At 51.7% G+C, this 27872-nt stretch overlaps 3 protein-coding genes across 5 annotated transcripts in view, besides 3 other annotated features; 2 read left to right on the forward strand and 1 right to left on the reverse strand.

Annotated features, from left to right (window-relative positions):
* Positions 1-26023, forward strand: part of AZIN2 (antizyme inhibitor 2) — an 85643-nt gene extending 59620 nt beyond the window's left edge. Inside the window, exon 10 of one of the 2 annotated variants that reach the window (XM_047443457.1) lies at positions 20080-26023. In XM_047443457.1, coding sequence (XP_047299413.1) covers positions 20080-20193 — 114 coding nt within the window. In that variant the 3' untranslated portion in view covers positions 20194-26023. The remainder of the gene's footprint in view (positions 1-20079) is intronic. The other variant, XM_017000174.2, reaches the window with a different exon arrangement.
* The window catches only part of ZNF362 (zinc finger protein 362), a 173198-nt gene that overhangs the window by 13251 nt on the left and 132075 nt on the right, over positions 1-27872 (forward strand). The window lies entirely within an intron of this gene.
* Positions 354-953: an enhancer, noted in NCBI's record as "H3K27ac hESC enhancer chr1:33606727-33607326 (GRCh37/hg19 assembly coordinates)". NCBI's record gives its function as "activates a minimal SCP1, AML or CMV promoter by ChIP-STARR-seq in naive H9 embryonic stem cells {active_cell/tissue: H9 hESC(naive)}" and the evidence as "EXISTENCE:reporter gene assay evidence [ECO:0000049][PMID:30033119]".
* The window catches only part of TRIM62 (tripartite motif containing 62), a 36645-nt gene continuing 13399 nt past the window's right edge, over positions 4627-27872 (reverse strand). For both annotated transcript variants that reach the window (NM_018207.3, NM_001330483.2), the window contains exons 2-5: positions 24699-24794; positions 18916-19172; positions 17481-17596; positions 4627-6955 (exon numbers count right to left, since the gene is read on the reverse strand). In NM_018207.3, the coding sequence (NP_060677.2) occupies positions 6405-6955; positions 17481-17596; positions 18916-19172; positions 24699-24794 (1020 nt within the window). In that variant the 3' untranslated portion in view covers positions 4627-6404. The remainder of the gene's footprint in view (positions 6956-17480; positions 17597-18915; positions 19173-24698; positions 24795-27872) is intronic.
* Positions 22407-23139: an enhancer, noted in NCBI's record as "H3K4me1 hESC enhancer chr1:33628780-33629512 (GRCh37/hg19 assembly coordinates)". NCBI's record gives its function as "activates a minimal SCP1, AML or CMV promoter by ChIP-STARR-seq in primed H9 embryonic stem cells {active_cell/tissue: H9 hESC(primed)}" and the evidence as "EXISTENCE:reporter gene assay evidence [ECO:0000049][PMID:30033119]".
* Positions 23140-23872: an enhancer, noted in NCBI's record as "H3K27ac-H3K4me1 hESC enhancer chr1:33629513-33630245 (GRCh37/hg19 assembly coordinates)". NCBI's record gives its function as "activates a minimal SCP1, AML or CMV promoter by ChIP-STARR-seq in primed H9 embryonic stem cells {active_cell/tissue: H9 hESC(primed)}" and the evidence as "EXISTENCE:reporter gene assay evidence [ECO:0000049][PMID:30033119]".

A 27872-nucleotide genomic window follows, 5' to 3' on the forward strand; every position in this document is an offset into this window, starting at 1 on the left:
GCCCTGGAGGTCCAGGCCAGCTCTCTCTTCTCCTTGGAGAGGACAACAGAGGAAGGCACCCAGCTCCTGGTGCCTGGGGTTGTTGGAACCCTCCTCTCTCCCCTTCTCCTTCTGCTCAGGCTCCAGGTTCCCAGGGGGTAGGAGGAGACACCAGAATCCACAAGAGGGAGACTGAAGTTTGCATGAAAAGAGCCGATGGCTGGGAGTCAGGAGACTTGGATCTGGCCCTGACTGTGCCCTGCAGGCTGCTGTCTTTGCATCTGTGTCTCAGTTTTCTTCTATGTAAATGGCAGGGCTGAGATCAGGGGTCTCTCATCAGCCATGTTGGGGCCCGTGATGCTGACTGGCATGCACACCCCAGGGAGGACTTCCTGATTTGATCACCCTTTTGCCCCCTCCTTCTCCTCTCGGAGGAGCTGCAGCCCCCAACTCTGATAGGCCCTCTTGTACCCCCGCAGACCTTCTTAGATGTGGGACCCTTCTCCTCTGAGCACCTCCCTCCTAAGCTCTGGCCCTGTCCCTTCCAGCCTGGCCTGTGTTCCTTTTCTTTGCCTGGGCTGGGGCCCTCTCAGTTAGTCAATCTCCCTCCCCTATGTGCTGACTGGGAACCAGGACACTTGAGTACTCATCTCAGCTCCACCATATGCTGTGTGATGTGGAGCTAGAAACTAACCCTCTCTGGGCTTCAGGTTAGACTGGAGGATCACTCAGACCCTTCCAGCATTCAGATTCGATCACATCTAGTCTCACAGTTTTGGGAAGCTCACCAGGACCTGAAGCTTTGTGCCTCTGATGCCAGCTTCCTGAAAGCCCTTCCCCAGCCCTTATCATGACATCAGGGTAGGAAGTCCCTGGGTCTCTGGTCCACAGTGTCAACCCTTCCCCCTCTTCATCTAATTTCAAGGGAGGGGGGAGCATTTTGTAATAGAAATATGATAGAACTGTTGAAATTTTTAAAGCAGATAGAAAACTGTTCTGATAGGTTGATAGGTGCAGCAAACCACCATAGCACACATTTACCTATGTAACAAACCTGCACGTCCTGCACATGTATCCTGGAACTTAAAAAAAAATAGAAAACTGTACTATTTTGTATTTAGGTTTAAAAATATATTCTTTTCATCAAGATAGAAAATAAAACAAAGAAAAATGAACACATTTCAAAATAAAAGTACTTCCCCCCTCCCCTCTCCTACTTTTTTTTGGAGGCTGTGCCTCCCTTTTGTGGTTCAGGATTATAGGAAGATTGTGTAGAATCTTTGGTGTCCCAGAGTAAGGGGAAATAACCGTGTCCTGATGGGCAGTGATAATTCAACACCTTTGTTAGTACTCCACCTTCCTCTCCCACCTCCCACCTCCCTCCTAGCCCTCTGTATTTAAGCCTGTGATACCGGGCCTTTGCAACTGACCTTGTGGTGATGTGCTTTGGGGTGGTGAACAGAGCTGGGACCCAGGCAGGAGGGGAGGAGACAGAGTGCTGCCCAGGTGTGAGCAGTCAGCCTCTCGAGATGGCCTCCCTGGCAGGAGGGAAGGCCCCATCCCCAGAACCCTTGAGCTGAGTTCTGTGCTGCCAAGAGAATGTATCTCTGTTGTTTTCTGTCCCTGCTGCCACCCCAGAGAGAAGGAGCCAGAGCTAATGGCCTTATTAGGTGCTGAGCAGGGCAAGCCGTGGGACCTAACGTTAGACTTACAGAATCCTGGACCATCAGAGCTCAGGCCCTGGCAATTAATCAACTAGAATAGATACCTAACCCTTCCCCAATAGAGATGGGGAAACTGAGGACCAGGGAAGGAGAGAGACTTGCTCAGGGTCACATGGGGCCTTTCTAACTCCACCTCTGACCCTGGGAGAAGCTTGGCTCACAATTGAGACTTGACTTACAATTGCACAATTCCGCAGTGGCGTGGAGCCTGGTTTAACCTCCCACTTTAAATCCCAGGGAGATCACAGTCCTGGTGGCTGCTGCCTGTCACTGGAGCCATCATCAAAGTTGAGAAGCATTTCCAGAGAGGTCCAGTAAAGAGACATCTGGCTTTAGCTTTGGATGGACCGGGTTTGATTTCCAGCTCTGCCGAGTACTGGCTGTGGGTCCTCTGGGAAGTGACGTTTCCCTGCTCAAACACTGAGATAATGATACCAACCACAGGGGCGTGTCTCGATGGTTAGATAAGGTGTAAAAAGGACCAGTACTTTGCTTGCTGACTACAAATGGGGGCTCCAAATGGGGTTACTGCCATTCTATCATTTTTATCTGTCCTGGGTAAGGGCTTTGTTGATCCCTCCTTCCTTCCCAAGCCTGGCCTTTGTCCCCTCTCTTCACTTAATGTGTTAAATGTGGGGTTCATGATATCAGCCTGACAACCCCAGATTCTTTCCTTCAGGAATTCTCTGGACGTGTATCAAATATATCTCTTGGAGACACCCCCATTTCCAGGAGTCCCCAGTTGATAATGCAAATTTGGCCTCTATAGTTACTTCCACACACGTGGAAACTGTGAGTAAAGCCTGGGAAGTGGCCAGCATTTCTTGGAGCTGCTGCTGAGGCTGAGTGGGGAGAAGGTGGAATGCGCCATGGAGGGGGTGCTCCGACCCCAGAGGGAGAAGGCTGAGCAAAGACAGATCCACTGAGCCAAAATGAGAGGGCGTGGTTTTAGAGCAGTCACAGGGATCTGAGAGGATGGGGGAGGGCTTGGGATACTCTAGTCTCAGAATCACCCCAGTCACTTCCCTGTGAACTGGGCTGCTCTCCATCAGACAATCAGAGACCTCTCCACCCACCCCTGCCAACAGCCCCTCTCCCATCCTCGTTCTCATTCCTCTTCCTAGAAACCCAGGCGAGTCAATGACTGGGGTGGTTCCCTCTCCCCAGCTCCAGGCTGTAGATGAAGATCCACCTGTGGCCTGCAGCCTAACCTCCCTCATTCTGTGGGTGAGGAGGCCAAGAATGGCTTAGGGTGAAAATGACTTAACAGAAAGCCAACACCAGTCCTGGGCTCCCAGGGGTGCTGTACTCCCTTGCACACTGCAGAGAGCACCCAGTGGCCTGGGAGACACAGTAGCAAATGGAAGAAGCTACTTCCCTCATTTCTGTTTGCCAGCATAATTTCACAAGCCTCTGACTCTGTGACCATGTGCGGCTCTGTGGAGGGATACTTTGGAGACAAGACAGAATAGTGGGCATGGCCCCCATGTCTCTTGCCTGAGTCACTACGTTCCTTAAAAGATAAATAAACCTAGTCCTTGCCTTTTCCTGTACAGAAGATAGTGTCTGATGGCATTCATGATTATGCCTCTGTAATCTATAGCCCAGACACACTCTTACATGCAAACGTTGATATATGATTCCGCTTTAATGTTACTTCTTTTTTTTTTTTTTTTTTTTGAGACGGAGTTTCGCTCTTTGCCCAGGCTGGAGTGCAATGGCGCGATCTCCAGCTCACCGCAACCTCCGCCTCCCGGGTTCAAGAGATTCTCCTGCCTCAGCCTCCCGAGCAGCTGGGATTACAGGCATGTGCCACCACACCCGGCTAATTTTGTATTTTTTAGTAGAGACGGGGTTTCTCCACGTTGGTCAGGGCGGTTTTGAACTCCCAACCTCAGGTGATCCGCCTGCCTTGGCCTCCCAAAGTGTTGGGATTACAGGCATGAGCCACTGCGCCCGGTGGCTTTAATGTTACTTCTGAGCAAGTGTGATGTGATTTTGCGTGTACTAAACCTCCACCACCTGTATATAAGCAGTGGGCTAAAATACTGTCCTGGGCCCGACTGATAGAACCTCTCTAAAGGGCCGCTGCTGGGCTCTAGGCCTGTCTATAGTACTCAGTAAGACTTCTAAGTAAAGTGAACTTTAATTCTTTAAAAGCTTGATATTTCTTCTTTAGTCGACAGTCTTTTCCACTTAAGTGTGCACAGCCTGTGTGTCCACATGCAGAGCCTGTCCTAACTCCCAGCCAGGATGCTTCCTCATCAGTCAGAGGTGGGATGGACCTCAGGATGGTCCTGGTCTAGGTGGTTCCATACCCGTCACAGCCCATAAGGAGAAAGACAGACTTCTTGGGTCAGAGCCAGCCCAGAGGTTCAGGAAACCCATACAGCTCCAGGCACTGACTCTGGGAGGCAGCTGGGGGGATAGGGTAGGGCCTCCTTAAGTGCACTGCACTTTACAGCTTACCAATAAATTATGTGAAATTGGTATCCTCATCTTCCATGTGGGAAAACTGAGTCCCAGAGAGGGTGGTCATTTTTCTAAAGTCACACAGTGATGGAGCCTGGATTTGAGCTGAGGTCTGTGTGGTTCCCGAGACCAGGCTCTTGCCACTGCCCCATGAGCTGCCTGCTGCCTGCTCCCAAGACTACCACCACCTCTCCTCCAGGTAAAGACTGACAGCCTTCCCTGGCTGGTAAGTTTTTGGACAGGTTTGTGGTGTGGCACTTGCCAGCATGGGATATGGGACCCCAGGTAAGTCTTGGCTTCTCTCTGAACCTCAATTTTCCTCCTCTGTAAAATGAGCATAATACCATTTACCCAGCCGGGCTGCTTTGTGGATTAGCTATGCTCATGTGTGTGCACTGCCTGGGACAGAGCTGGGTGGGCCTGTGTGTTTGTCAAAATGAATGGAACTGGCTACTGACATCTGTAACTTTAATTTAATACAAATTGATCATAACTCATAAAATGGGCAACATTTTAAATAAAAATACTGCTGGGGTGGCCCAGATTCTGGTAGTTGAAGGGTTGGGGTAGGGCTGACAATTCCTTTTGCCCAAGGGAGGCCCGGGTGGCGGGGGCAGCCATTTTAAGAACCCCCTGTGTTTAGCTCTTCCGGCTACTTTGGGATGGTGTGTTGTGTCAGAGACCCCAAGTGCAGAATCTAGGCCCCAGGACTAGAAAGAAAAGTCAAGGCCGGGGAGACATTTAGGCTCAGTCTTGCAGCCCACTCCTCCAGTTCCCACCTCTGGGCAGGGATAGAGCCAAGGGGCAGGACAACCCTAGATGTGGACTCCACCCTCTCCCGAGTTCTTCACGATTGGATGCTGTGGCAGAAAAACGCAGGTGGGGCTTGCTCCACCCACCCTAACTTCCTTCTAGGGAAATGACATTTCCCAGACTCCCTTGCAGCCAAGGTTCTGGATCTGACTTAAGTTCCCCCAAACAGAATCTCTTGTAAAAATTTAGATTTGGGAACTGAGTGAAGTGGGAGAGGGGCAGGCCTCAGGACATCTATTGGCTGGCACGGACCGTGGCAGAGGGAGCCTAGTTCTGCAGTCAGCAGCTTTCTGGCATAGTGGCTTCCTGCAGATGGGGGCAGCTTTCCTGGTCACAACAGACATGATGAATCTGGCGCTGGGAGTTCCTGGAAATTCAGCAGAGTCTGCTTCTCCAGCTCTTCCAACAATTTTGCAAGCCACCAGGGGCCAGGTAGTAAATCCTTGTCTAATTAAACCAGCTACAAGTGGCTCTTGTTTTCTGCAGCAGGATCCTAACTGAGATAGATGCCAAGTCTGACAAGGGGTCCAGCCAACAGCCCCTCCCAGTGCTTGGGTCCTAATTACAACAACTGCTTCTGGAAGCCTCCTGCACCCTAGCAGGTCACAGAGGCCTGGCTGAAGAGGGTTGGCTGGACTCTTGTTCAGAGCTACTGGGGACCTCGATCATCCAGGGAGGCTTGTCCTGCAGTTGCTTTTAGGCTAATGGGCTCTGCATCAGCTTTGGGTATACCCTCACCCTGTCCCTCGGCCTGTGGGCAGGAAGGTGGTGGCACATGACTATAATGTGTGGACTCAACTACCAGGTGCCTTCCACAGGCCACAGCATCATCACTGACCAGCAGATCAGTGGGAGAAGTAGGAACCATATAGTTCTTGGTGTGGGGGTGGCAGGAGAGGTTGGCTCTCAGGCAACCCTAGGACCAGGTACTACCTGTGACCACTGTGGACTGGGGTCAAGGGTAAATGGCCCATCACTAGCTTGGTCAGGGGTAAGTCTTAGGCCATGGGACATAAGAGGGTGCTGTGTGTCTTTCGGGCTGCCAACTACTGGCCATGCTCTGACACTTCCTGAGGTCAGGGCTGGGCTGGAGGGAGACACTGGAAGGTAGTCCCCTGCCCCTGAGAAGATGGGGATGAGGGTTGGGCAGGGGTTGCCCTGAGGAGAAGCCATGTCACATCCTTGGATCAAAGCTGTATCCCTATCAAGGTCAGAGCTACAGAACATCGATGCTGGAAGAGAGTTTAGGAAGTAGGGAATGCAACCTCCATTTTACAGACTGGAGGCTGGAGGGTAAACAACTGGCCTGAGGTCTCCAGTGGCCACGGTGGGCTGGAGTCCAGGTCTTCTATCTCCTGGGCAGGGCTCTTGCAGGTGGCAGTGGTCCCAGGAGGTTGTGGTCTCCTTCTGCCTGGACTAGATGCGGACGGTGTTGATCCGCAGCGGCTGAACGTTCTTGCCATTGGCGTGGCTCTGGCCAGGGCTGAAGTAAGAGCAGAGCTTGCCAGGGAACTTCTCGCGGAAGGTGTAGAGCCAGGACATGTCATCAGCATTGTAGAAGATGAGCAAGCCTTGGTCATAGTCCAGGAAGACACCCACCTTGTCAAGCTTGTCCCGGACGTTAAGCCGCGTCCAGGGCTCCGTGCAGGCGCTGTACTGGTTGCCATCGTGCATCACGATGCAGTAGAAGCCGCGGCTGGGCTGGATCTGGATGCTGCCCTTGCGGCTTGCGGCTTCGTGTGCCAGCCCGATCACCCACTGGGTCTTCTCCGCCACCACCACCTCCCAGTAGTGGACGCCACTACTGAAGGCTTCAGAACCCAGCACCGACACCTCCACATCGAAGCGCTTTGGCGAGTCCTGCAGTGGCTGTGGGTGCAAGTTGCCGTAAGCCACAATGGTGCAGTCGTCCGACAGGATCAGGCGCTGGTGGGCTGTGCCCGGGTCCAGGGTTAGGGCGGCTGGCACTGTGGGGGTTGGAGGAGGGAGAGAAGATGAGTGGGGAGAAGGCTGTGGACCCACCATGCAGTGCCTTCCTGAGGGCAGAGTTCTGGTTGGTACGCAGGAGGCCTCTGACCTGCTGTGTGACCTTGAATACAAGTCTGCCCTCTCTGGGCCTCATCTTCCTCCTCTGTAGAATGGAAGGGTGGTGGTTAAGGTCCTTCCAGATATTGTCTGCAGGGGAGCAGGGGCTACAGCTGCTTGTTCACTGCCTGATGCCCAGGGCGGAGCACATAGTGGGCACTGGCAAATGTTTGTTGAATTAACCAGAATGAGGCCTAGAATTGGGGAATTTTAGAGCTGGAAGGGAGCTTCCAGATGATCCAGTTGCTACTGCCCCCTAGGGGGAATGGGGAAATTGGTGAGTGTGTTCAGGTTGTCTTAACAACAGCTGGGATCCAGGGATGCTAAAGACCACGAAATGGACAGGACAGTTCTGCAAAGGGAAGTTCTGCCCCACACCTTCCCCGACTCCCAGTGATTTTCACGTGTCCCAGCAGACATTCATGTGGATGAAAAATCTTTTTTATAAGGATAAGAAACTATAACCTAACTCCATTTCATGTATAAACATGAAATTTTTTTTGCAGTTTTAATATATACTGAATATTTCAGAATGCAACCACTGTGTAAATGAAGGGAAGGCTGCATTTGTTTTGTTTGGAACTTCCCTAAGAACTGTTTGCTTTGTTGGAAAATACATCCCTAAGGGCAACACCACTGACTGAGACAACCTACCTGTATAGGCATTTGAGGCAGGATGGTGTTTTACCTATGACGAGAGGACCTGGCTGCTTTGTTAGGTTTTCTAGTGTGATTGTGGGTGAGCATCTACATGTTGACATACAAAATATTTTATTATTAATAATTTCCTTCTATTTTCCTTCATATTAATAGTCAGAGTATGTATCTATGTACATATACACACACAACACTTGAAATTGTGAAAAGGTTACACTTGAAATTATAAAAAGGTTATATTATCTTTGAGATATTACACATGATTTGTTATGAAAAGTAGACAATGGGTCTGAAAAGATTGAAAACCATGAATTCTAGGCCAACTCTTCCATTTGACAGATGAGGAAACTGAGACCCAGAGGGGAGACATGACAAACTTAGGTCATCCTGCAAATATTGGCAGAGCCAGGACTAACCAAGGTCGTCTGCAATCTAGCGCCAGTCCTTTCTCCCAGCCAACCTCTCACTTCTGCCCCCTACCCCACTTAGGTCCAAAGCCTCTGCTTACACGGTTCCCTCCACCTCCTCCTCTCTGCTTGTTGCAACCACCCCCAGAGGCTCAATTCAAAAGGCCCACCCTTTGGGAAGCCTTCCTGGTCACCCAGCAGATGTGCTCGTTCTGTCCTCTGAAATTCCTTTTGCCTCTTCTTTTTCTTATTTATTTATTGGAGACAGAGTCTTGCTTTATCCCCCAGGCGGGAATGCAGTGGCATGATCTTGGCCCACTGCAACCTCCACCTCCCAGGTTCAAGTGATTCTCATGCCTCAGCCTCTCGAGTAGTTGGGATTATAGGCACGCGCCACCACGCCTGGCTAATTTTTTGTATTTTTAGTAGAGACAGGGTTTCGTCATGTTGGCCAGGCTGGTCTTGAACTCCTGGCCTCAAGTGATCTGCCCACCTCGGCCTCCCAAAGTTCTGGGATTACAGGCATGAGCCACTGTGCTGGATTCTTTTAAAAAAAAAAAATACAGACAGGGTCTCACTCTGCCACCCAGGCTGGAGTGCAGTAGTGTCATCATAGCTCATTGGAGCCTCCAACTCCTAGGCTTAAGTGATCCTCCTGCTTCAGCCTCTTGAGTAGCTGAGACTATAGGCATGCATCACTATGCGCAGCTAATTTTTAAATTTTTCATAGAGATGAGGTTTCGCAATGTTGGCCAGGCTGGTCTCGAACTCCTGGCCTCAAGTGATCCTGCTGCCTCAGCCTCTCACAGTGCTGGGATTATAGGTGTGAGCCACTGCACCTGGCCTGAAATTCTTTAGCTTTATTTGTGCCCTGATACTGGCGTGGGGTATTATCTTCTGTGATCACATTTTGCCCTATTTCCCCATTTGCACCAAGAGGGCAAGGACCGTGTACTGTCTAATGGGGCTCTCCCTTGTGTGTCCAGAGCCCAGCCCAGGGCCTGGCTTGTGGCACATTTCCGGAAAGACTCACCAAATTAAACTGGCCATGTTTGTGTTGGGCAGGTGGCATGGGCTGCATCACCTGGCTCTGGGCTGGCCACACCGGCTTAGCAGGTCTGACTAAAAATTTCATGAACCCTTGTTAAGACCTCTGTTTACTCTCTGCTCCCTGAGGGAGCTGATAACTGGCCAGAGGAGAAGGAGGAAACTGGGATTGGCTTTCCTTAGCCTGAATGACCATTTCCAGGCAACAGCAAGACAGAGATGAGGAAAAGTGGGAAGAAGGAATTGCCTCTGTTCCTTGGGGTCTTGGACATCCAGCTCTCTGGCTCTTTCCTTTACTGGCGAAGTGGGGACATGGTTATGCTTGGCTGGAGCATTCTCCCTACTTCAGTTGCCTCTGTTGGCTGCACTGATGTGCAGAAATAAGATGCCTCAATGATGGGGACTGTCCCCAACAGGGAGCTACAGCCAGTCCCTGAACTGTGCCTCTGTTCATATACCCACTGGACCAGTGACCTATATCAAGTTCCTTCCATGATCTTTGCCAGGAGTAAGTTTAGTTTTGCATTTTACCCTCTTTGTTTCTGTCCTTTGGACTTAGAGGGCTGTATGGAAGTAATTAGCCTTGTGAATAGAGGGGTCAATGGAAACACAATCCTCTGTCCAGGGACATAGAAGACGGGGAACCAAGAGAGGACGGCCACTGAGTTGGTGGCTGGATGTTTCACCCTGTGGTCTGACTGGCCACAGGCAGCTTGTCAGAACCAGGGGGCCCCTGCCTGGTGGAATGTGGGCAATTCCCACAGTGGGGTCGGGAGGTGGGAGTGGGAGGGAGCTGTAGGAGGAGTGTGTGGTAGGGGGAAGAGCTAGATTGAGAAGAGGAACCTAATCAGACATAGGTGGGCCACCCCTATGACAGTGGGATGTGGATCACACTCAGGTGTGACAGTGGAGGGGCAGAAGAGCGATGCACAGTGCCCAGGCATGAACAGCAGCAGTTCAGAGTGCTGGGGGAACCTAGGCATGATATCTAAGGCGCCTGGGTGATTTGAGACCAGCAACAGGCAGCAACCGAGGCTCAGGGCAGAAGGACTGGTGCGGGGCGGGGGGTACCCTCAAGCAGGTATAAGGGCTCAGCTTCAGACTTGTAGCTTATGTAGGACAATGTGAGCCACTTGTGGTGCCACTGATGAGTGGGAGGGCACCCTAGGAGGGAGACAAGGGGGCTCTCCGTGGGTCTGAGACCAGTAGACAAAGATAAGCCTGCAGATTGGAGGAAATCCTGACCCAGTGAATGCCAGCCCTGGCGAGCGGACCTGTGCTGCTTGAAGCCCAGGGGACAGGATGGGTACAGGGCCTGCCACTCACTGGGCCGGCCTAGGGGCAGGGCCTGCCACTCTCTTAGGCGGGGGTGTGGCCTGACTCTTAGGAGACTTCTATACCCCAAGGGGTGAGGCTGGGGCAGGGTGTGGCACCCTGGCTGAAGCCACCTCCAAGGCCTTGCACGAATCATTAACACAGGGTCTTGGCTCCTGGGGCTCCCTCCCCGAGGCTAGGGCTAACAGGAGTAACAACCTTCAGACCAGAAAGGGACCTAGAAGGGGCATGGCAACACCCCTTCCCCCTCTGAGAAGTCAGTTCCTCCATCTGTCCCTCATCCCCAGGAGGTGACAGGCCCAGCAAAACAAGCGCAGTCCCTGGGGGCTCACTATTCTACAGGTCAGAGCTCATTTCTAAGTCCCGGGACACCAAGATTTATAAAAACAAGCCAGACACTGAGGCAGCCCGTCTGGTCTCCAGGTGTGTTGTCCATTCATTTAAGCATCTCTGAGACCTTGAGGTCAAAGGCATTCAGGAAGGATCATGGACTGTGGAGGTCCCAGGAGATGTTTCCCGGCCACCACTGAGCAATCACATTCTGCCCAAGCAGCGGAGAAAGCCCTCCCGGGGCACAGCCCAGCACAGCTGCTTGGCAGTGAGTGGATTGTGTTTCTTTGTTCTCAAGAACAGAGGCTTCGAACATGCAGAGGCCTGACAGAACATGAAAGGCTGGCTGTAAGCGTTTTCCTCTGGCCAGGCCTTTAAAAAACCAGGTTCCTCAGTCCCTCAGATGTACAGGGCAGACATGTGCAAAAACATTCTCACACTCACTAGCTCATGGGAGCACCACGACAGACCCAGGGGCACAAATTGTTCTAGCCATTTTTCAGAAGAGGAGACTGAGGCTCCAAGGAGACAACTCTGAGGTAAGTGGCTTGCTCAAGCTGCCACTTGGAGAGGAAGCAGAGTTGGAACTTCAGCTGAGGTCTTTTCACATCATGCTCTTCCCAGCATGTGGCCCCAGAAAGCCTGTTCAGCAAGACTGGGGAGGCTGGGCTTGGTGGCTCACGCCCGTAATTCCAGCACTTTGGGAGGCCGAGGCAGGCGGATCACCTGAGGTCCGGAGTTCGAGATCAGCCTGGCCAACATGTAGAAACCCTGTCTCTACTAAAAATACAAAAAATTAGCGGCGCATGGTGGCACATGCCTGTAATCCCAGCTACTTGGGAGGCTGAGGCAGGAGAATCGCTTGAATCTGGGAGGCGGAGGTTGTGGTGAGCCAAGATTGTGCCATTGCACTCCAGCCTGGGCAACAAGAGTGAAACTCCGTCTCAAAAAGAAAAAAAAAAAAAAAAAAGACTGGGGACCATCTGTCGATTCATGATGATAATAACAATAAACAGACAGGAATCAAGTACTTACTAAGTGTTACAGGATCATTATTACAAACAAATAATTTAATCTGCATAGCTACCCTGGGAGAGAAATGCAACTATCCTTGTTTTACAGATGAGGAAACTGGGGCTCTGAGAGGGGAGTGCATTGCTCTGGGTCACACAGCTAGGCAAGGAATGTGCCGGGACTCAAAATGACTGGATTCAGATTAGCAGGGGGCGGGGAGAGCAGCCCAGGATGGGGAGAAGGCAGGAGCAAGGCAGGCTGCTCCTGGTGTCCTTGGGACAATGGGCTGCCTGGCCTGGCTGAGGAGGCAGTTTGTGCCTGGGAGTTGGGGGATTTAGACCAGGTAGGTAAGAAGGTCACAGTTGGAGGAGAGCTTCCTAATGTTAGGCTGGGGGTGGGATAGAGGGGTGGGAGGTGGGGGAGGGTGGAAGTGCCAGAGCAGGGGAGTGACAGGTGCTGGATGGGGTTCTCAGGTGACCCAATAGGAAGCCTGAGCTGGAGGGGAGGGGCAGGCAGGAAGCTGCTAGAATCCATGGGCTAGGTCCCTGGGGGCACCCCTCCCATCTGGACATAAAGGGCTTTGGTGCTGGCAGAGGAGCCAGACTGACTTCACAGGCCCCACAGACAAAGAAAGGGGCCCAGCCAACCAGGCTGCTGCTCTCTGAACTCCCCAGGGGCCTCTGCTCTGGGCAGGATGTTGGAGCACAGTCTGTTCCTCCCTCAGCTCCTCTCTGGCAGGCAGCTTTCTCTAGAGCAGTGGTTCTCAACTGGGCCAATTTTGCTTCCCAGGGACATCTGGCAAAGTCCAGAGACATTTTTGGTTGTTACAACTGAGTGGGGTGGCTACTGGCTACTGGCATCTAATGGATAGAGGCCAGGGATGCCACTAAACATCCTGCAGAGCACAGAGCGGGGCCCTGCAACAAGGAATGGTCCAGCCTCCAGTGTCAATGGGGCTGTGGTTGAGAAACCCTGCACTGGGGTGATGGCAAGTTCCACATCCCTTTGCTCCCTTATGAGGGAGTTGAGAAGGGAACACTAGCATCCCTATTTCAGAGGAAGAAACTGAAGTTCAGAGGAGGCAGTGACTTGTTCAAGGCTGTGCAGCAAGTTTCTTCAGTCAGCAAATACTTACTAAGCACCTATTTTATTGAGGCGCTATTCTAGAAACAGAACTGAGACTAGGATCCATTCATTTTGTTATGCATTTATCGACAAACATTTGCTGTGCTAGCTGCTGGGAGTGAATCAGACCTGGCCCCTGACCCTCACAGTTCACAGTCTAGTGAGTGAGACAGCCACACAGACAATGACAAAACAGTGAGACCATGTAAGCCCAGGTTGCCTTGAGAAATCCAGGAAGGCTTCTCAGAGGAAGGTTTTATAAACTAAGATGCCAAGGAGAGTAAGAGTTGGCCATCAAAGACTAAGGATTGTGTAGAGGGCTGCAGCCGAAGGGAATGGCATGTGCAAACGTGTAGATGAGGGAGAATACAAAACATGTAGATGAGGGAGAATATGGCTCATTTAAGATCTAAAGATGGGCCGGGTGTGGTGGCTCACGCCTGTAATGCCAGCACTTTGGGAGGCTGAGACTAAGTTCTGGGAGGCAAAAGTGCATCCAAGGCTCCGATTCCCTCCCCAGTCACTGACCCAGGACAGCCCTGGAGCAGGGAGCCTGGGGAGCCTTCTAGCCTCAGCTGCCACCTGCTCCATGTCTGTCACAGCTCGGAGAGGCAGTCCAGGCACCTCAGCCTGGCATTCAAGGCCCTGTAGGATCTGGGGCCTGCCAGCTTCTCATTCTCTCTTCCATTATCTTGCTCAGCTATATGGAACCATCTTTAGATCTTTTTTTTTTCTTAATTAAATTTGTTTTTTTTGAGGCTGGGCGCGGTGGCTCACGCCTGTAATCCTAGCACTTTGGGAGGCCAAGGTGGGCGGATCACGAGGTCAGGAGTTCAAGACCACCCTGGCCAACATGGTGAAACACCGTCTCTACTAAAAATACAAAAATTAGCTGGGTGCAGTGGCGTGTGCCTGTAATCCCAGCTACTTGGGAGGCCGAGGCAGGAAAATCGCCTGAACCCAGGAGGCAGAGGTTGCAGTGAGCCGAGATCACGCCACTGCACTCCAGCCTGGTTGACAGAGCGAAACTCCGTATCCAAAAAAAAAAAGTGGCCAGGCGCGGTGATTCACGCCTGTAATCCCAGCACTTTGGGAGGCCAAGACGGGCAGAACATGAGGTCAGGAGATCGAGACCATCCTGGCTAACACGGTGAAACCCCGTCTCTACTAAAAATACAAAAAATTAGCCAGGCGTCTTGGCAGGTGCCTGCAGTCCCAGCTACTCGGGAGGCTGAGGCGGGAGAATGGCGTGAACCCGGGAGGCAGACCTTGCAGTGAGCCGAGATCGCGCCACTGCACTCCAGCCTGGGCGACAGAGCGAGACTCCATCTCAAAAGGTCTCGCTCTGTCGCCCAGGCTGTAGTGCAGTGGCGCGATCTCGGCTCATTGCAGCCTTCACCGCCTGGGTTCAAGCCATTCTCCCACCTCAGCCTCCCGAGTAATTGGGATTACAGGCGTGTACCACCATGCCTGGCTAATTTTTGTATTTTTAGTAGAGACGGGGTTTCACCATGTTGGCCAGGCTGGTCTCGAACTCCTGACCTCAAGTGATCCGCCTGCCTTGCCTCCCAAAGTGCTGGAATTACAGGCATGAGCCACCATGCCCGGCCTCCCCTGACTCTTGAACGTGCCTTGAGGGACTTTTGATGTTTGTGGAACAGAAGAATGAATCCAGCCAGATGGAAGAAACTCTGACCCCTGTGTGACCTGAGGGAGTCAGTGAGTCTCCCTGAGCCTTGGTCTCCCCAGCCTCCTTCCTGGTGTGTGTGAGGTCAGAGAATGGCCAGTGAGCTTAGTAGGTAAGGAAGGGCACAGGCTCTGGGGCCCGACGTTGGGGTTTAAGTCCTGGCTGTAGCATTTCCAAGTCGTGACCAAGGACAAGTTCCTAACAGCTCTGTGCCTCCGTTACTTATTCTGAAAAAATGAGGATAATAACACTTCCCACTTCTCAGGGAGAATTCACTTCTCTATCCAGGTCTCTCCTCTAAAGGACATCGTGCCTGACTCAGGAACACACAGGGTTCTCTGCTGCCAGTCAGTTTGAATCTGCCCTTGGGGGGGATCTGTGATTTTGGGAAGGCACTGATTTCCCAGTCCCAACACCTGATAAGTCTACTAGAAACCTGTTTCAGACCTTCTTCTCTATCTGCAAACCTCTCATCCCTTGCTCCCATCTCCGCTGATGATCTTGCTTCCTGCTTTACTGAGAAAGGTGAAGCCATCAGAAGAGAATCCCCCAAGCGCCCACCACTGCCCCACTGGCTTTGGTGCCCACTTATTCTACTTTCTCTGGGCTCCTGAAGATGAACTGTCTGGGCTCCCAGCAGAAGCTGGCTCTCAGCCATGCAGCAGATCGCAGTCAAGGCTGGGCTGCAGTCAAGACTGTCACTCCTGCAACTTCCTCTCCTACATCCTTAATTCTGTCCCCTCTACTGGATCTTTCCAATCATCTCACAGATATGCTGTATTTCTTCTATCATAAAAAACAGCACTGCCACACTCTCTCTCCTTCGCTTGAAAACTCCTTTAAAGCATTGCCTCCACCTCTCTTGGACCAGCTCCAACCAGGCTTTGGCCCCTACTGCTCCACCCAACCAGCTCTCATCAAGGCCACCAATGACTTCCCTGTTGCTAAATCTGGAGAATAGTCTCTTCTGGGTTCTCCCATGCTTGGCTCAGCAGCCTTTGTCACTGTTAGCCACTCTCTCCTGGAAATGCTTCCTCCAGGCTTCCAGGACATACCTGGGTTGCCCTCCTATCCCTCTGACTGCTCCTTCTCGGTCTCCTTGGCTGGGTCCCCCTCTTGTCCCTGACTTCTAGGAGTGTTCCGGGGCTCCTGATGTTAGGGCAGCCCTCTGTCTTTTCTATCCGCCCCCACTTCCTAGGTGATCTTGTCCAGGCTCATTAAAAGCTGTCCATATGCTAATGATGCTGGTGCTGACCTTCCTTTTGTATTGCTGGCTTGTCATCCCTACTGCCTTTTCAGCATCAGTGCTGAGATAACTAATTGGCATCACAAACCTTACAGGCTTACAACTTCATCCTTTTAGTCACTTTGGCTGAAATAATTACTATCTCCCTCGTCTTCTTTCTTTCACACCTGGATTTGCTAATCCGCTAGCAAATCCTGTTGGCTGTCCTTACAAAATATGTCCTAAATCCCACCCCTTCCCACCCCCTCCACTACCACCACCCTGCTTCACGCCCACATCACCTCTTGCCTGGATTATGCAGTGGTCTCCTAACCCATTTCCCAGCCCCCATCCTTCACCCCCTTCGGTCTATTCTCAACCCACTAGCCAAAGGGATCCTTAAAAAACTTAAACCAGTTCACGTCACTTCATGGCTCCAAGCCCTCCACTGGCTCTCATCTCACTCAGCATAAAATCCAAAGTTCTCACAATGGCCTACAGACCCTCGTGGTGTCTGGCCACTGCTACCTTCTCAGTCTCTTCACCTTGACCCTCCTTCTCACTCATCTCCCTCCAGCCACGTTAACCTCCTTGCTCTTCCTGCCTGGGAAACAGAGGGAGACTGGTGAGAGTGAGATGTGCTCCTGCCTCAGGTCCTTTGCACTTGCTGTCCCCATGCCAGGAGCACTCTTCCTCCAGATACCTACGTGGCTCACTCTTCTTCAGCCCTTGACTCTAATGCTTCCTTCTCAGTGCGGGCTGGTTCCTGGACCACCTGTCTAAAATCTCCATCCTGTCTCACCTTTCCCAGCCCCCTTCCTTATTCTTTGTCAGTATCTAATATGCTCTGTATTTTTCTGATTTACTTTTGTCTACTTTCTATCTCACACCCTAGGATGTAAGATGCGTGAGGGCAGGGATTTTTGCCTGTTTTGCTTACTATGGTATCTCCAGCACCTAGAACAGTTCCTGATGTGAACTCTTATGTACCCTGTTGTATAGAAGGAGTCTATGAAGTGTCCAGGCCTCAGTCATTTCATCTGGAGAATGGGTTTGCTAATGGAACCTATCTCATGTTTTTTTTTTTTCTTCCTTTTTTTCCGAGATGGAGTCTTGCTCTGTTGCCCAGGCTGGAGTGCAGTGGCTCAGTCTCAGCTCACTGCAACCTCTGCCTCCTGGGTTCAAGCAATTCTCCTGCCTCAGCCTCTCGAGTAGCTGGGATTACAGGTGCACGCCACCATGCCCAGCTAATTTTTGTATTTTTAATAGAGACAGGGTTTCACCATGTTGACCAGGCTGGTCTCGAACTCCTGACCTCATGATCCACCCACCTCAGCCTCCCAAAGTGCTGGGATTACAGGTGTGAGCCACCACGCCCAGCCATCTCCTGGGGTGTTATGAAGGTCCACTGAGCTGAGTGATTGTGCAGGTGCCCAGGACAGGTCCTGGAACACACTAGGTGCTCAGCAAGGCACTCTGCTCATTCACCCCAACTGCCCCATGCTGTGTTTAGGACAGGGGGCTGGGCTGTGCTGGGACATGCCCCACCTAGCTCTGGACCATGATAACCCATGCCTTACCTGGGTGGATGTCCTGGAACAGGGACTTCCAGATGGTGTACTGCAGGGGGCCTGTGTACTTGGAGGTCGGGAAGTCTTCATATGTGAGGTTGGTCTCATGGATTTTTCCCTTGAGCCTGGAAGGAGAGCAGGAAAGGGGGCTGCACCAGGGACTGGATTCCTGCCCCAATGCCAGGGGCCCCGCAGCCACCTTCAGGGCAGCTGGCATAGGATGTGGTCATGAGTGAGAAGTCTGTGGGACTCAGATTCAAGTGCCTGCTTGTGCTGCTTCTGGCCTCTCTAACCATTCCCTCAGTCTTCTCATCTTTAAAATGGGTGCTATGCTAGCATCAGCCTTCTAGGCTTTTTGTGAGAATTACATGGCATAACATATACAGATGCTCAGCACAGTGCTCGGTCACGGTCAATGCCAAATTCATGATCTTAGCAATCAGTATTGATCACCAACAAACCAATGACTAAGTGTTATTACTACTAAGGGAAGATTTGGGGTCACAGAGACCTAGGCTTGAATCCTGGCTTACCAGTTACCAGATGGGGGGCCTTGGCCAACTGATGTAGCTTTTCAGAGCCTCAGTTTTTTTCTTTTTTTTCTTTTTTTTTTTGAGACAGAGTTTCGCTCTTATTGCCCAGGCTGAAGTGCAATGGCGCGATCTCAGCTCACTGCAACCTCTGCCTCCTGGGTTCAAGCAATTCTCCTGCCTCAGCCTCCTGAATAGCTGGGACTACAGGTGCCTGCCACCACGCCCGGCTAATTTTTGTATTTTTTTTTAGTAGAGACGGGGTTTCACCATGTTAGTCAGGCTGGTCCTGAACTCCTGACCTCAGGTAATCCACCTGCCTCGGCCTCCCAAAGTGCTGGGATTACAGGTGTGAGCCACCGTGCCCAGCAGGAGCCTCAGTTTCTACATGCATGAAATGATGATGACAGTGGTAACTACTTTCAAAGGGACTGAGAGGGTTACAGTAATATAAAGCCTTTATATAGTAACACGTAATGCCAACATTATCATAAATAAAATAATATGTAATATATTTATATTATGATTGTAAACACTATTAAATGCTACCTACTATCTATAATGTATACAGAATATATTACATATATAATAATGTAAATATATGAAGTCTTTATTCCCAGATCCTTTCTCTCCTGCACCCCTAGAGCCAAGACAGCAGGGTCAAAGTGGCTGCCCTCTAGATGGTTTTCAAACTGTGTTCCTCACCATTGCTGCTGCTCCTCTAGTTCAAGCCTCACTGGCTTCATACTCAAGGCTTCATGCTCCTACCCATAGCAGATGTCCCGTAAATGTTTGATGAAGATTTGAATGAAAGAATTCTCTGCTAAGGATCCCATCTGCCTCCACTCCCACTGCCCAGCATGGGTCGAGGAGGGGATGGTCAGCCGGGGAGGGCCCCGGCGGGTGGCACTTACCGCTCGGACAGTGAGGCCACCCCAGCCAGGAAGGTGTGCCGGTCGGTTTCAGCCAGCCGCTCCTGCAGGATCTGGGCTCCCTCCTGGACCTTGCGCAGCTGCTGGCTGTAGCGCTGGACTTTCTGCTCGATGTCGGTCAGCGTGCGGGCCGTGTCCGCCTCCAGCTCCTCTAGCATGGCCTTCTGGCGTTCACGCAGCAGCCGGTGCAGCCGCTCGAAGGCCTCGCCGATAGTGGTCCGCAGGCTCTTGGTGGAAGACTGTGGGGGACAGTCGTCAGGGGTTATGGCTGGGGGAGCAGATGGGGTGATCTCTGGGTGAGAGGAGGAAATCGAGAGCCTTGACACACAGAGAGGAAAGGGTGGGAAAGGGCACGCGTGGTGGGGGAAATGTCACATGCAAAAGCATGGTGGTAGGAAAGGATGGGCATGTTCTATGTGGTCCATTAAATAGCTAATGAAATGGCCCAGGTGAGAAAATGAGGCCTGAACTAGAGGAGCAGCAGCAATGGTGAGGAACACGGTTTGAGAAACATCTAGAGGGCAGCCTCTTTGACCCTGCTGTGTTGGCTAGAGGGGTACAGAAGAGAAAGGAGCTGGGGATAATGCCCAGGTTTCTGGCTTGGGGGTAGGAGGGATGAGGGAGCTGGAGTGAGGGCTAGGGGACAGGGTGAAGATGTTCTCTCAAGGACATAGTGAAGTCTTTATTTTTTTTGCTTTTATTATTATTAGTTTTTTGAGATGGAGTTTTGCTCCTGTCACCCAGGCTGGAGTGTGATGGCACGATCTCGGATCATTGCAACCTCCACCTCCTGGGTTCAGGCGATTCTCCAGCCTCAGCCTCCCTAGTAGCTGGGATTACAGGAGCCCGCCACTATGCCCGGATAATTTTTGTATTTTTAGTAGAGATGGGGTTTCACCATGTTGGCCAGGCTGGTCTCAAACACCTGACGTTAGGTGATCTGCCCACCTTGGCCTCCCAAAGTGCTGGGATTACAGGCGTGAGCCATCGTGCCCGGCTGAAGTCTTTATTTTAAAAAAATCATTCATGGGGCTCATTCAGGGGGCTCAAGGAAAGATGACAAGATCACAGACATCAAAGAGCTTTGTAAATTGCAACGTATTGAGAAAACCTTGGTGGTTACTCGCTGTCTCCTGTTACCTCTAGGACCCTCTGGCTAAGGAGCAAGGACTGGTGTTTATAGACAGGATCAGGGAGGTAAGCATGAACTTTCATGGTTTTCTCTGCCCCCAAGGGCACTGTGAGGCTCAGGAAGGGTGAAGTAGTGAAGGGCACAGGTTTGGTGCCTGACAGTCTGCGTAAGGACTCTAGCTCTGGGTCTCTAGCTATGGCAACGTCAGTTGCCTAAGAGCTGTGAACCTTAGTTTTCTTATCTGTGAAAGGAGTAACAAAAACTGCATTGTAGGATTGTGGTGAAGATGAAATGAGGGGGTGTTGTTGTGCGCACTCCAAGGCGCAGAGAAAGAGCCTGGTTATTGAAGACTGCAATTCTAATAAGCGTTTCCCGGAAGTCTTCATTGAGAGACGGGTTCTGAGCCGGGGCCTGAGGGATGGGCAGGATGTCAGTTGGGGGTCAGGGGAACAGGCAGAGGGAGCCGCATGAGGAAGGGCTTAACGTCAGGACGACACGGGCTATAGAAGTGCGGCCAGGCTGCAGCAGCATGTGGGGCCTGCCTCTGCAATTTTACTTTGTGGGATTCTGGCTGGGAGTTCATGGAGTCAGAAACCCCACTGTGTTCAGTGCCCAGGGCTCTGTGGGAGGCTCTACAAAGGCTCAATTAGGGCCTGTTCCCTCCCCGACGCGCGGCTGCTGGCCTGCAGGAAGAACTGCTGGCGGTGGGCCAGCCTCGCTGCGCATGCCCACCCAGAACGCCAGGCAGACAAAGGGGGGCGGACGAGAGTCTGGGGATGCACGGCCAGGCTGCCGTGGCCTTCCTGAGCCCCCTCACCCGGGGAGGGTGGAGGCCTCTGCAGCGGCATGTTGCTGATGGGGAAGATGGGGTCCGTCGTCCCTGCACCACCTGGAGCTGCCCTCCACAGGCGCCCAGACTCCGCAGCTACTCCTCTGGCTCCTCCTAGACCACTCTGCAGCACTTAGCCCACTCGCCACCCTCTCCTAGTTGAAAGTTCTGCTTTGCCTCCCATCTCTGTGACTGCTGCCTCTCTGCCTCCCATGTTCCTCGGGGCTCATCCAGGTCAGCGCCTTCCATCCTCACCCTGAACACCTGCCCCCATTTTCAACTTGAACTGCTTTAAGGATGGTTCCCAAGTCCATATAGATGGCCTTGCCTGTCTCCTGAGTGCCACACCCATTTTTCCAACAGTCTCCCCAACACATCCCTCTGGGGTCCCACAGGTCTTTCCAACTCACTTGGTCTACAAGTCAACTCTTGTCTTTGCCAGCAAACTCACTGTCAGAGTGATCCTTCTAAAGTGCCAACTGAATCACAGATGATCCTGAGTTTAGGAACCTTCTTTAGCTCCTTGACACATAGTAAAATGCTGAACTCTTTAGTCTGGCATTCAAGGACCTTCTCAATTTAACCCTAGCTTACCTCCCTAGCGCCACTGCATTGCAACTCCACCTGCCTAGAATGACCCTACCCAAACCCTGTATTCAACTGGCAAACTCCTACTCATCCTGCAAGACCTAGCTTGAAAGTGACCTCTTCAGAGATAACTTTCCTCTCTTTCAGGCACTTGGATGTTCCCAGAGCCTTTTGTCAACAGTCTTAATACATTGTCCCACATTTTCTGTCTCCCTGGCTAGTAAGTGGGCCCCTGCTGGGTAGGAATGACATCTCCCTCGGCTCTGCACCCCTGTGCCCATCCCAGAGCCTGGTACAAGGCTGGCAATCAGGAGTTGCTTGAGGGGTGAAGGAGGGAAGAGTCTTGTCTGAGATTGCTCCGTAGAGCTGGGTGCAGGCTCCAGCTTCTTTCCAGGCTGGGGTTTCAATGTCTCAAGGACGAGAGAGGATGGGAGGGAAAGGGGGGAAGGCAGGGACAGGGCAGCCAGCAGTGGAACATCAGAGTGACAGCCACCCCTGGAGCCCCAAGTACATTCCCGATGAGTCCTACTGACCTACCTGGCTTGCTGACTACAAAGCCATAGCTCTTGCAGGACACCCCAGGAGACATCCCAGCTGCACTATGCACTGGGCTCTGACAGGACTGGATGGTAAGCTCCCAAGTTGCCATTTTCTAGCTGTGGGACTTCAGGTTGGTCCCTCAACCTCTCTGTGCCTCAGTTGCCTCACTGATAAGATTGAGATAACAACAGTTCCTACCTGGGACGATTTTTTTTCTTTCCTGTTTTTTTGGTTTTTGTTTTTGTTGTTTTTTATTTTTTTGAGATGGAGTCTCACTCTTGTTGCCCAGGCTGGGGTGCAGTGGCTCGATATTGGCTCACTACAACCTCCACCTCCTGGGTTCAAGCAATTCTCCTGCCTCAGCCTCTTGAGTAGCTGGGATTACAGGCACCCACCACCATGCCCAGCTAGTTTTTGTATTTTTAGTAGAGACGGGGTTTCACCATATTGGCCAGGCTGGTCTTGAACTCCTGACCTCAGGTGATCCGCCCGCCTCAGCCTCCCAAAGTGCTAGGATTACAGGCGTGAGCCACTGTGCCTGGCCGATTTTTTTTTCCTTTCAATCACTTTTTTTATAACTACTTATTGTGTGCCAGACACTGTGCTAGGTTTTAGGGAATCCTGCTCTCGTGGAGGTGACATTCTGTGAGGTTGGCAGGATAATGAAGAGGAACACAATTCTCAGCACAGAGAAAAGTTCTGCTCAACTGGTGCACCCCATTTATTCTAGTTCTTTCCAGGGCAGAGTCACCCTTTCCCCAACCCCCTCCTTTCAGCTCTGTGGCTGGGGAAACAGCCCCCACCCCAACCCACCACATCCCTTGGAACACCCTAGGGCCTGGAGGTGCTGGGGCCCTTTCAGAAAAACACCCTGCCAAGAATGCATCACCCCGCCAGGGCGCCGACCAAGGAAAACAGAGGGCCTGAGGAGGGAGATCAGACAGGCCCTCAGGCCAGGCCATTGGAGGGGCAGGCGCAGCAGGAAAGCCGAGTCAGGCACCAGGTGAAATATGACCTCCAAAGCATCCATAGGCATTTCTTGTATAAACACCCCAGTCCAGACAGGAAGTGGGGCTGGGGGAACTCGAGGGGGATGTGGCCCCACAGGACCCCCCAGAGGCAGACAGATGGACAGGAAAGCGGGGGAGGAAGAGGTCAGTGGAGAAAAACAAAGAGGGTGTGGGATGTGGAGAGAAGAGAGTGCTGCTGGGGAGAAGGAACAGCCCATAATACTCCGCTCTCATACAGAGAGAGGCTTCCATTTGCTTCTCATCATCCAAGAGGTACAGAATCACCAGACAGTTGGGGAAACTGAGGCTGCAAGAAGCAATGAGGCCAGCATCCTGTGACTGTTTATCATCTGTTGCCCCCGAGGGTCCTGCCCAGAGGCACTCTGGAATGTTCTGTGAAGAATTGTTTGTCATGACCTTCCTGAGACCCCACAGTGGGTTGGTGGCCAAGCTGGGGCATAGATCTGGGTTTCCAATGGTGTCTTCAGGCCCCAGGATGACCTCCAGAGGCCCAGCGCATTCCTAAGGCTCTGCCGCAGCTCCTGCTGACAGAGCGGGGTCAGCCTGAAATCACCCCAGGCCTCACGACACAGAGTCACTCTGTATAGTGGGGACTCCACCCGGCACCTTCCAGTCCCAGAGTGCTGGACTGAGCCTGGCAGTCCCCACTGGACAGATGGGAAGGCTGGGGACCCAGGAAAGCATGCAATTTACCCAAAGTCACACAGTGAGTTAGTGGTGGGATCAGAACCCATGTCCTTCTCAAGTCAGTGGAAAAGTCTGTTTGTTTGTTTGTTTGTTTGTTTCCCAAACCACGGTAGCCAGAGACTGCAGAGTTTGGCCCTACCTTTCAGAGTCTGTATCCCATGGCCTGAGCTTAAGGGGAGATGATACCAGGGCTGGGCCACCTCTGGAGGGCTTCGAGGGGACATGCTCAGGATTGACTCCTAGGCAATGGGCTTATTCATTCATTCATTCATTCATTCATTTTAGAGACAGGGTATCACTCTGTCACCCAGGCTGGAGTGCAGTGGCATGATCATGGCCTACTGCAGCCTCAAACTCCTGGGCTCAGGCAATCTTCCCATCTGTCTCAGTCTCCAGAGTAGCTGGGACTACAGGCATGTGCCACTACGCCTGGCTATATTCAATTTTTTTTTTTTTTTTTGTAGAGAAGGCATCTCGTTATATTGGCCAGGCTGGTCTCAAACTCCTGGGCTCAAGCCATCATCTTGCCTCGGCCTCTGAAGAGACTGGGACTACAAGTGTGTGTCACAACACCAGGGTTGGGCGGTTTTAATAAGGGGAGAGGAGAAAGAGACTGAGCACATTCCCCAGCCCTTCAGGAGGCAGGGGGTTTCCGGAGGGTCCCGGGACCCGCCTCAACTTCCACCCAAAGTGGGAAGGGAGAAATGGCCCCGTCCTTAACCGAGGGACCAGCCCACATCCTTGCCGCCAGTCATGATGGGGTGGGTGCCGCCCCATTGAACTTCACGGATGCCCTACCCTCTTCCCCACCCTGCCCTTCTCACTCCAGGTTTGGCTCCTTGAAGCCAGGTTTCCACCGCACACCCGAGGCCCCGCCCCTCTTCCCCAGCTGGCCCCGCCCCTCGAAGCCCTGCCCTCATCTCTGCCGGCCCCACCTCCGCGCCCCGGCCAGGCTCACCTTGGTCTCCGCCAGTTGTCGCTTGAGCAGCTGCAGCGCTTCGGTGTGTTCCCGCTCGCTGTCTTGAAGGGCCTGAAGTTGGTCCTTCAGCTCCCTCTGAAACACACACAGGGCCGGGATGGGGGCAGGGGCCATGCCTGGCCCAGGCATTCAGCCCTGACCACTGCCAGGCGCTGGGGGTTAGCCTGGTCTCTGTCCCCAACCTCCAACACTTGCCTCCCGTCACAGTTCAACCACCAGCAAGTCCTGTAGAGTCTGTCTCCTAAACACCTCCAGAACCCGTCCGTATCTTTCACCTGCATCTTTGCAACAACCTCCTCCTCTTTGGCCACCCTAGAGGCTTCTGTGACAATCGACTTCCACATACACACTCTCTGGCTCCCCACACTTGGCCCTGGATCCCCGCTTAGAATTAAGGCAGGGGTCTCCAACCCCCAGGCCACAGGTGGGTATTGGTCCATAGCTTGTTAGGAACCTGGACGCACAGCAGGAGATGAACAGTGGTGGGGAGGGGCAAACCATCTGTATTTGCAGCCGCTCCTCATCGCTGGCATTACCACCTGACTCCACCTCCTGTTGGATCAGTGGTGGCATTAGATTCTCACAGGAGTGTGAACTGCACATGGGAGGGATCTAGGTTGCCTGCTCCTTATGAGAATCTAATGCCTGATGATCACTCACTGTCTTCCATCACCCCCAGATGGGACTGTCTAGCTGCGGAAAAACAAGCTCAGGGCTCCCACTGATCCTACATCATGTTGAGTTGTGTAATTATTCCATTATATATTACAATGAAATAATAATAGAAATAAAGTGCACAATAAATGTAATGTGCTTGAATCATCCTGAAACCATCACCCCACCCCCACCCCCTGCGGTTTGTGGAAAAATTGTCTTCCATGAAGCTGGTCCCTGGTGCTAAAAAGGTTGGGGACCACTGCTCTAAGGAACCAAAGCTGTACCAGTCCAATGCTACAGACTAGCTGCCAACATTCTCCGAGGGCTACAGTGGGCTGGGCACAGTTCTTAGCTCTTTGCTTATATTAAATCATTTGGGCCTCTCAGTAACCCTAAGGGAGGCACAATTATTATCTCCATCTTCTGATGGAGAAAAAGATACAGAGAGGTCAAGAAACTGGCCCCATAGCATACAGATAAACATATAATGGTAAAGAAGGAATTGGAACCCGGACAGCCTGGTTGTGGAGACCATGATCTTGATGCCAGGTGACACGTTTTCTACCATGATGACTCCTGCGATGAATAACAACAAATCCACAACACACAAGATATCAAAATTTTAAATAAAAACACAATCAGCCTCACTGATTTTTCCTTTGTCTCAGGTTCCAGTGTGGCTCAGCAGAGCATTGTTAGTGATCCTGGCCTTGTTTGAAATGTTGAATTTTGTTCATCGTGGGTTTTTTGCATTAATTTTGATTTAAGAAATATTGCATTAAATACTATTCATCTTGATTGCTGAGTTTGGGGCACCCTCTGATCCCACCTCTGTCTCCAACACCCTCCCCCATCACTCCCATCCAGCCAGTGGCCTTCTTCCTGTGCCTCCACCATCTTGAGCTCGTTCCAATCTTCAGACTATGCCCTGGCTATTCCCTCTGGCTGGTGGCCTCCACTCTCAGAGTTTCTCACGGTGACTCCTTTGTACCATTAATTTAACTCAGATGCCACCTCCTTGAAGAGTCTTGCCTGACCGCCCCACGCACAGTGGCACCTCCTCATACCCTGTCACACATCTGGATTCACGGTCTTCCTTGCGCCTTCTGCTGTCTGAATATATTTGACTGTGTGTTTATTGCTTATCTCCTCACTAGAATGTGAGTTTCATGAGAGTAGTAGGAATCTTGTCTGGCTTGTTCCCTGCCTTATGCCCAGGGACTCAGTGATTATTTGTCAAGTGATAAATGGGTTGTGGAGGTGAGTGCTCCCTAGCACAGGGTCCAGCTGTCTGCAGGCATTGGGAATCTAGCCCATTGTATTATCGCCAGTTGTTCTCCTGTCTGTCTCTTCTTCGTCCCCGTATTGGCCCACAAGTCCTCCAGGGTGGCTCCTACTGCTCCCTCTCCATATACCTCACACCCAGCAACAGCCTGGCACTGAGATGGGACTCAATGACGCTTGCTGCGTGAATGAAGTTCCTGGAAATGGCCTCTGAGTTCCCCAAGTCAGTCTGGGCTGTGAGCAGTGCCAGGAAGGCTGACTTACCTGTTCACATCCACCTCCCTCCCACTCATTCAGCTTGTCAGACCAGGGAGGGCCTTGGTAAATGTCTAGTTCAATTAATTTTACAGACTAGGCAGCAACATGGGAAAATATTCATGATGACATGCTGATGGAAGAATGCAGGAAACAAAATTATCTTTGATTACTATCAATTATTCATTTAAAAAACATTTCTTGGGCAACTATTATGTACCAGGCACTGTTGAGGCACTGGGATTATGGCGAAGGACAAGACAGACACAGTCCCTGATCATAGGGACTAGTCTGGTGGGGAAGACAGACAACAAACAAGGAAAATAATAAAGGAGCGAGGTTACCAATATGGTGTGTCCTGCAGAGAAAATAAAGCAGTGTGAGATGGAGGGGACTTTAGGTAGGGTGGCCAGGGAAGGCTTCTCTGAGGAGGTGACAGCAGAAGGATGAGGAGGAGCCAGCCATGAAAATGGGGGTAAGATAGAAAAATACAAGCTGCTTGTTTTGAGAGCCCATGCTGATGCAATTGTTGGAACTCTGGCAGCCATCTCAGGCCATGAGGCAACTGTAAAGACCAAAGTCACAAGCTGAAACCAGAAGAGTAGAAGGAAGAAGGAGCCCGAGTCCCTGATGACTGTGGGGCTGCCACACCATCGGTTTACTCAGTGACATGCTAGGAAGCTGGCTGTCTGAGAAAAACTTTTTTTTTTAAATCCCCAACAGTGCCAATTTCCATGGTGTAAATGTTCCCACTCAAGTGGATTTCAAGCCATCAGTGTGAAGTAGTAGTTGGACTTGGCATTGGGATGAGATGCACACAATCAGCTCTCAGGAGCCAGTGCAACCTGCCGCAGCACACCCACCTGGAGTCCTTTCCTAGAGACTTGTCTTACATGAGAGAGAAACGCACCCCATCTGACTGCAGCTACTTCAGCCAGGGCTCTGTTACTAACAGCT

The sequence above is a fragment of the Homo sapiens genome, chromosome 1, assembly GCF_000001405.40.
Source record: "Homo sapiens chromosome 1, GRCh38.p14 Primary Assembly".
Classification (NCBI taxonomy): Eukaryota; Metazoa; Chordata; class Mammalia; order Primates; family Hominidae; genus Homo; species Homo sapiens.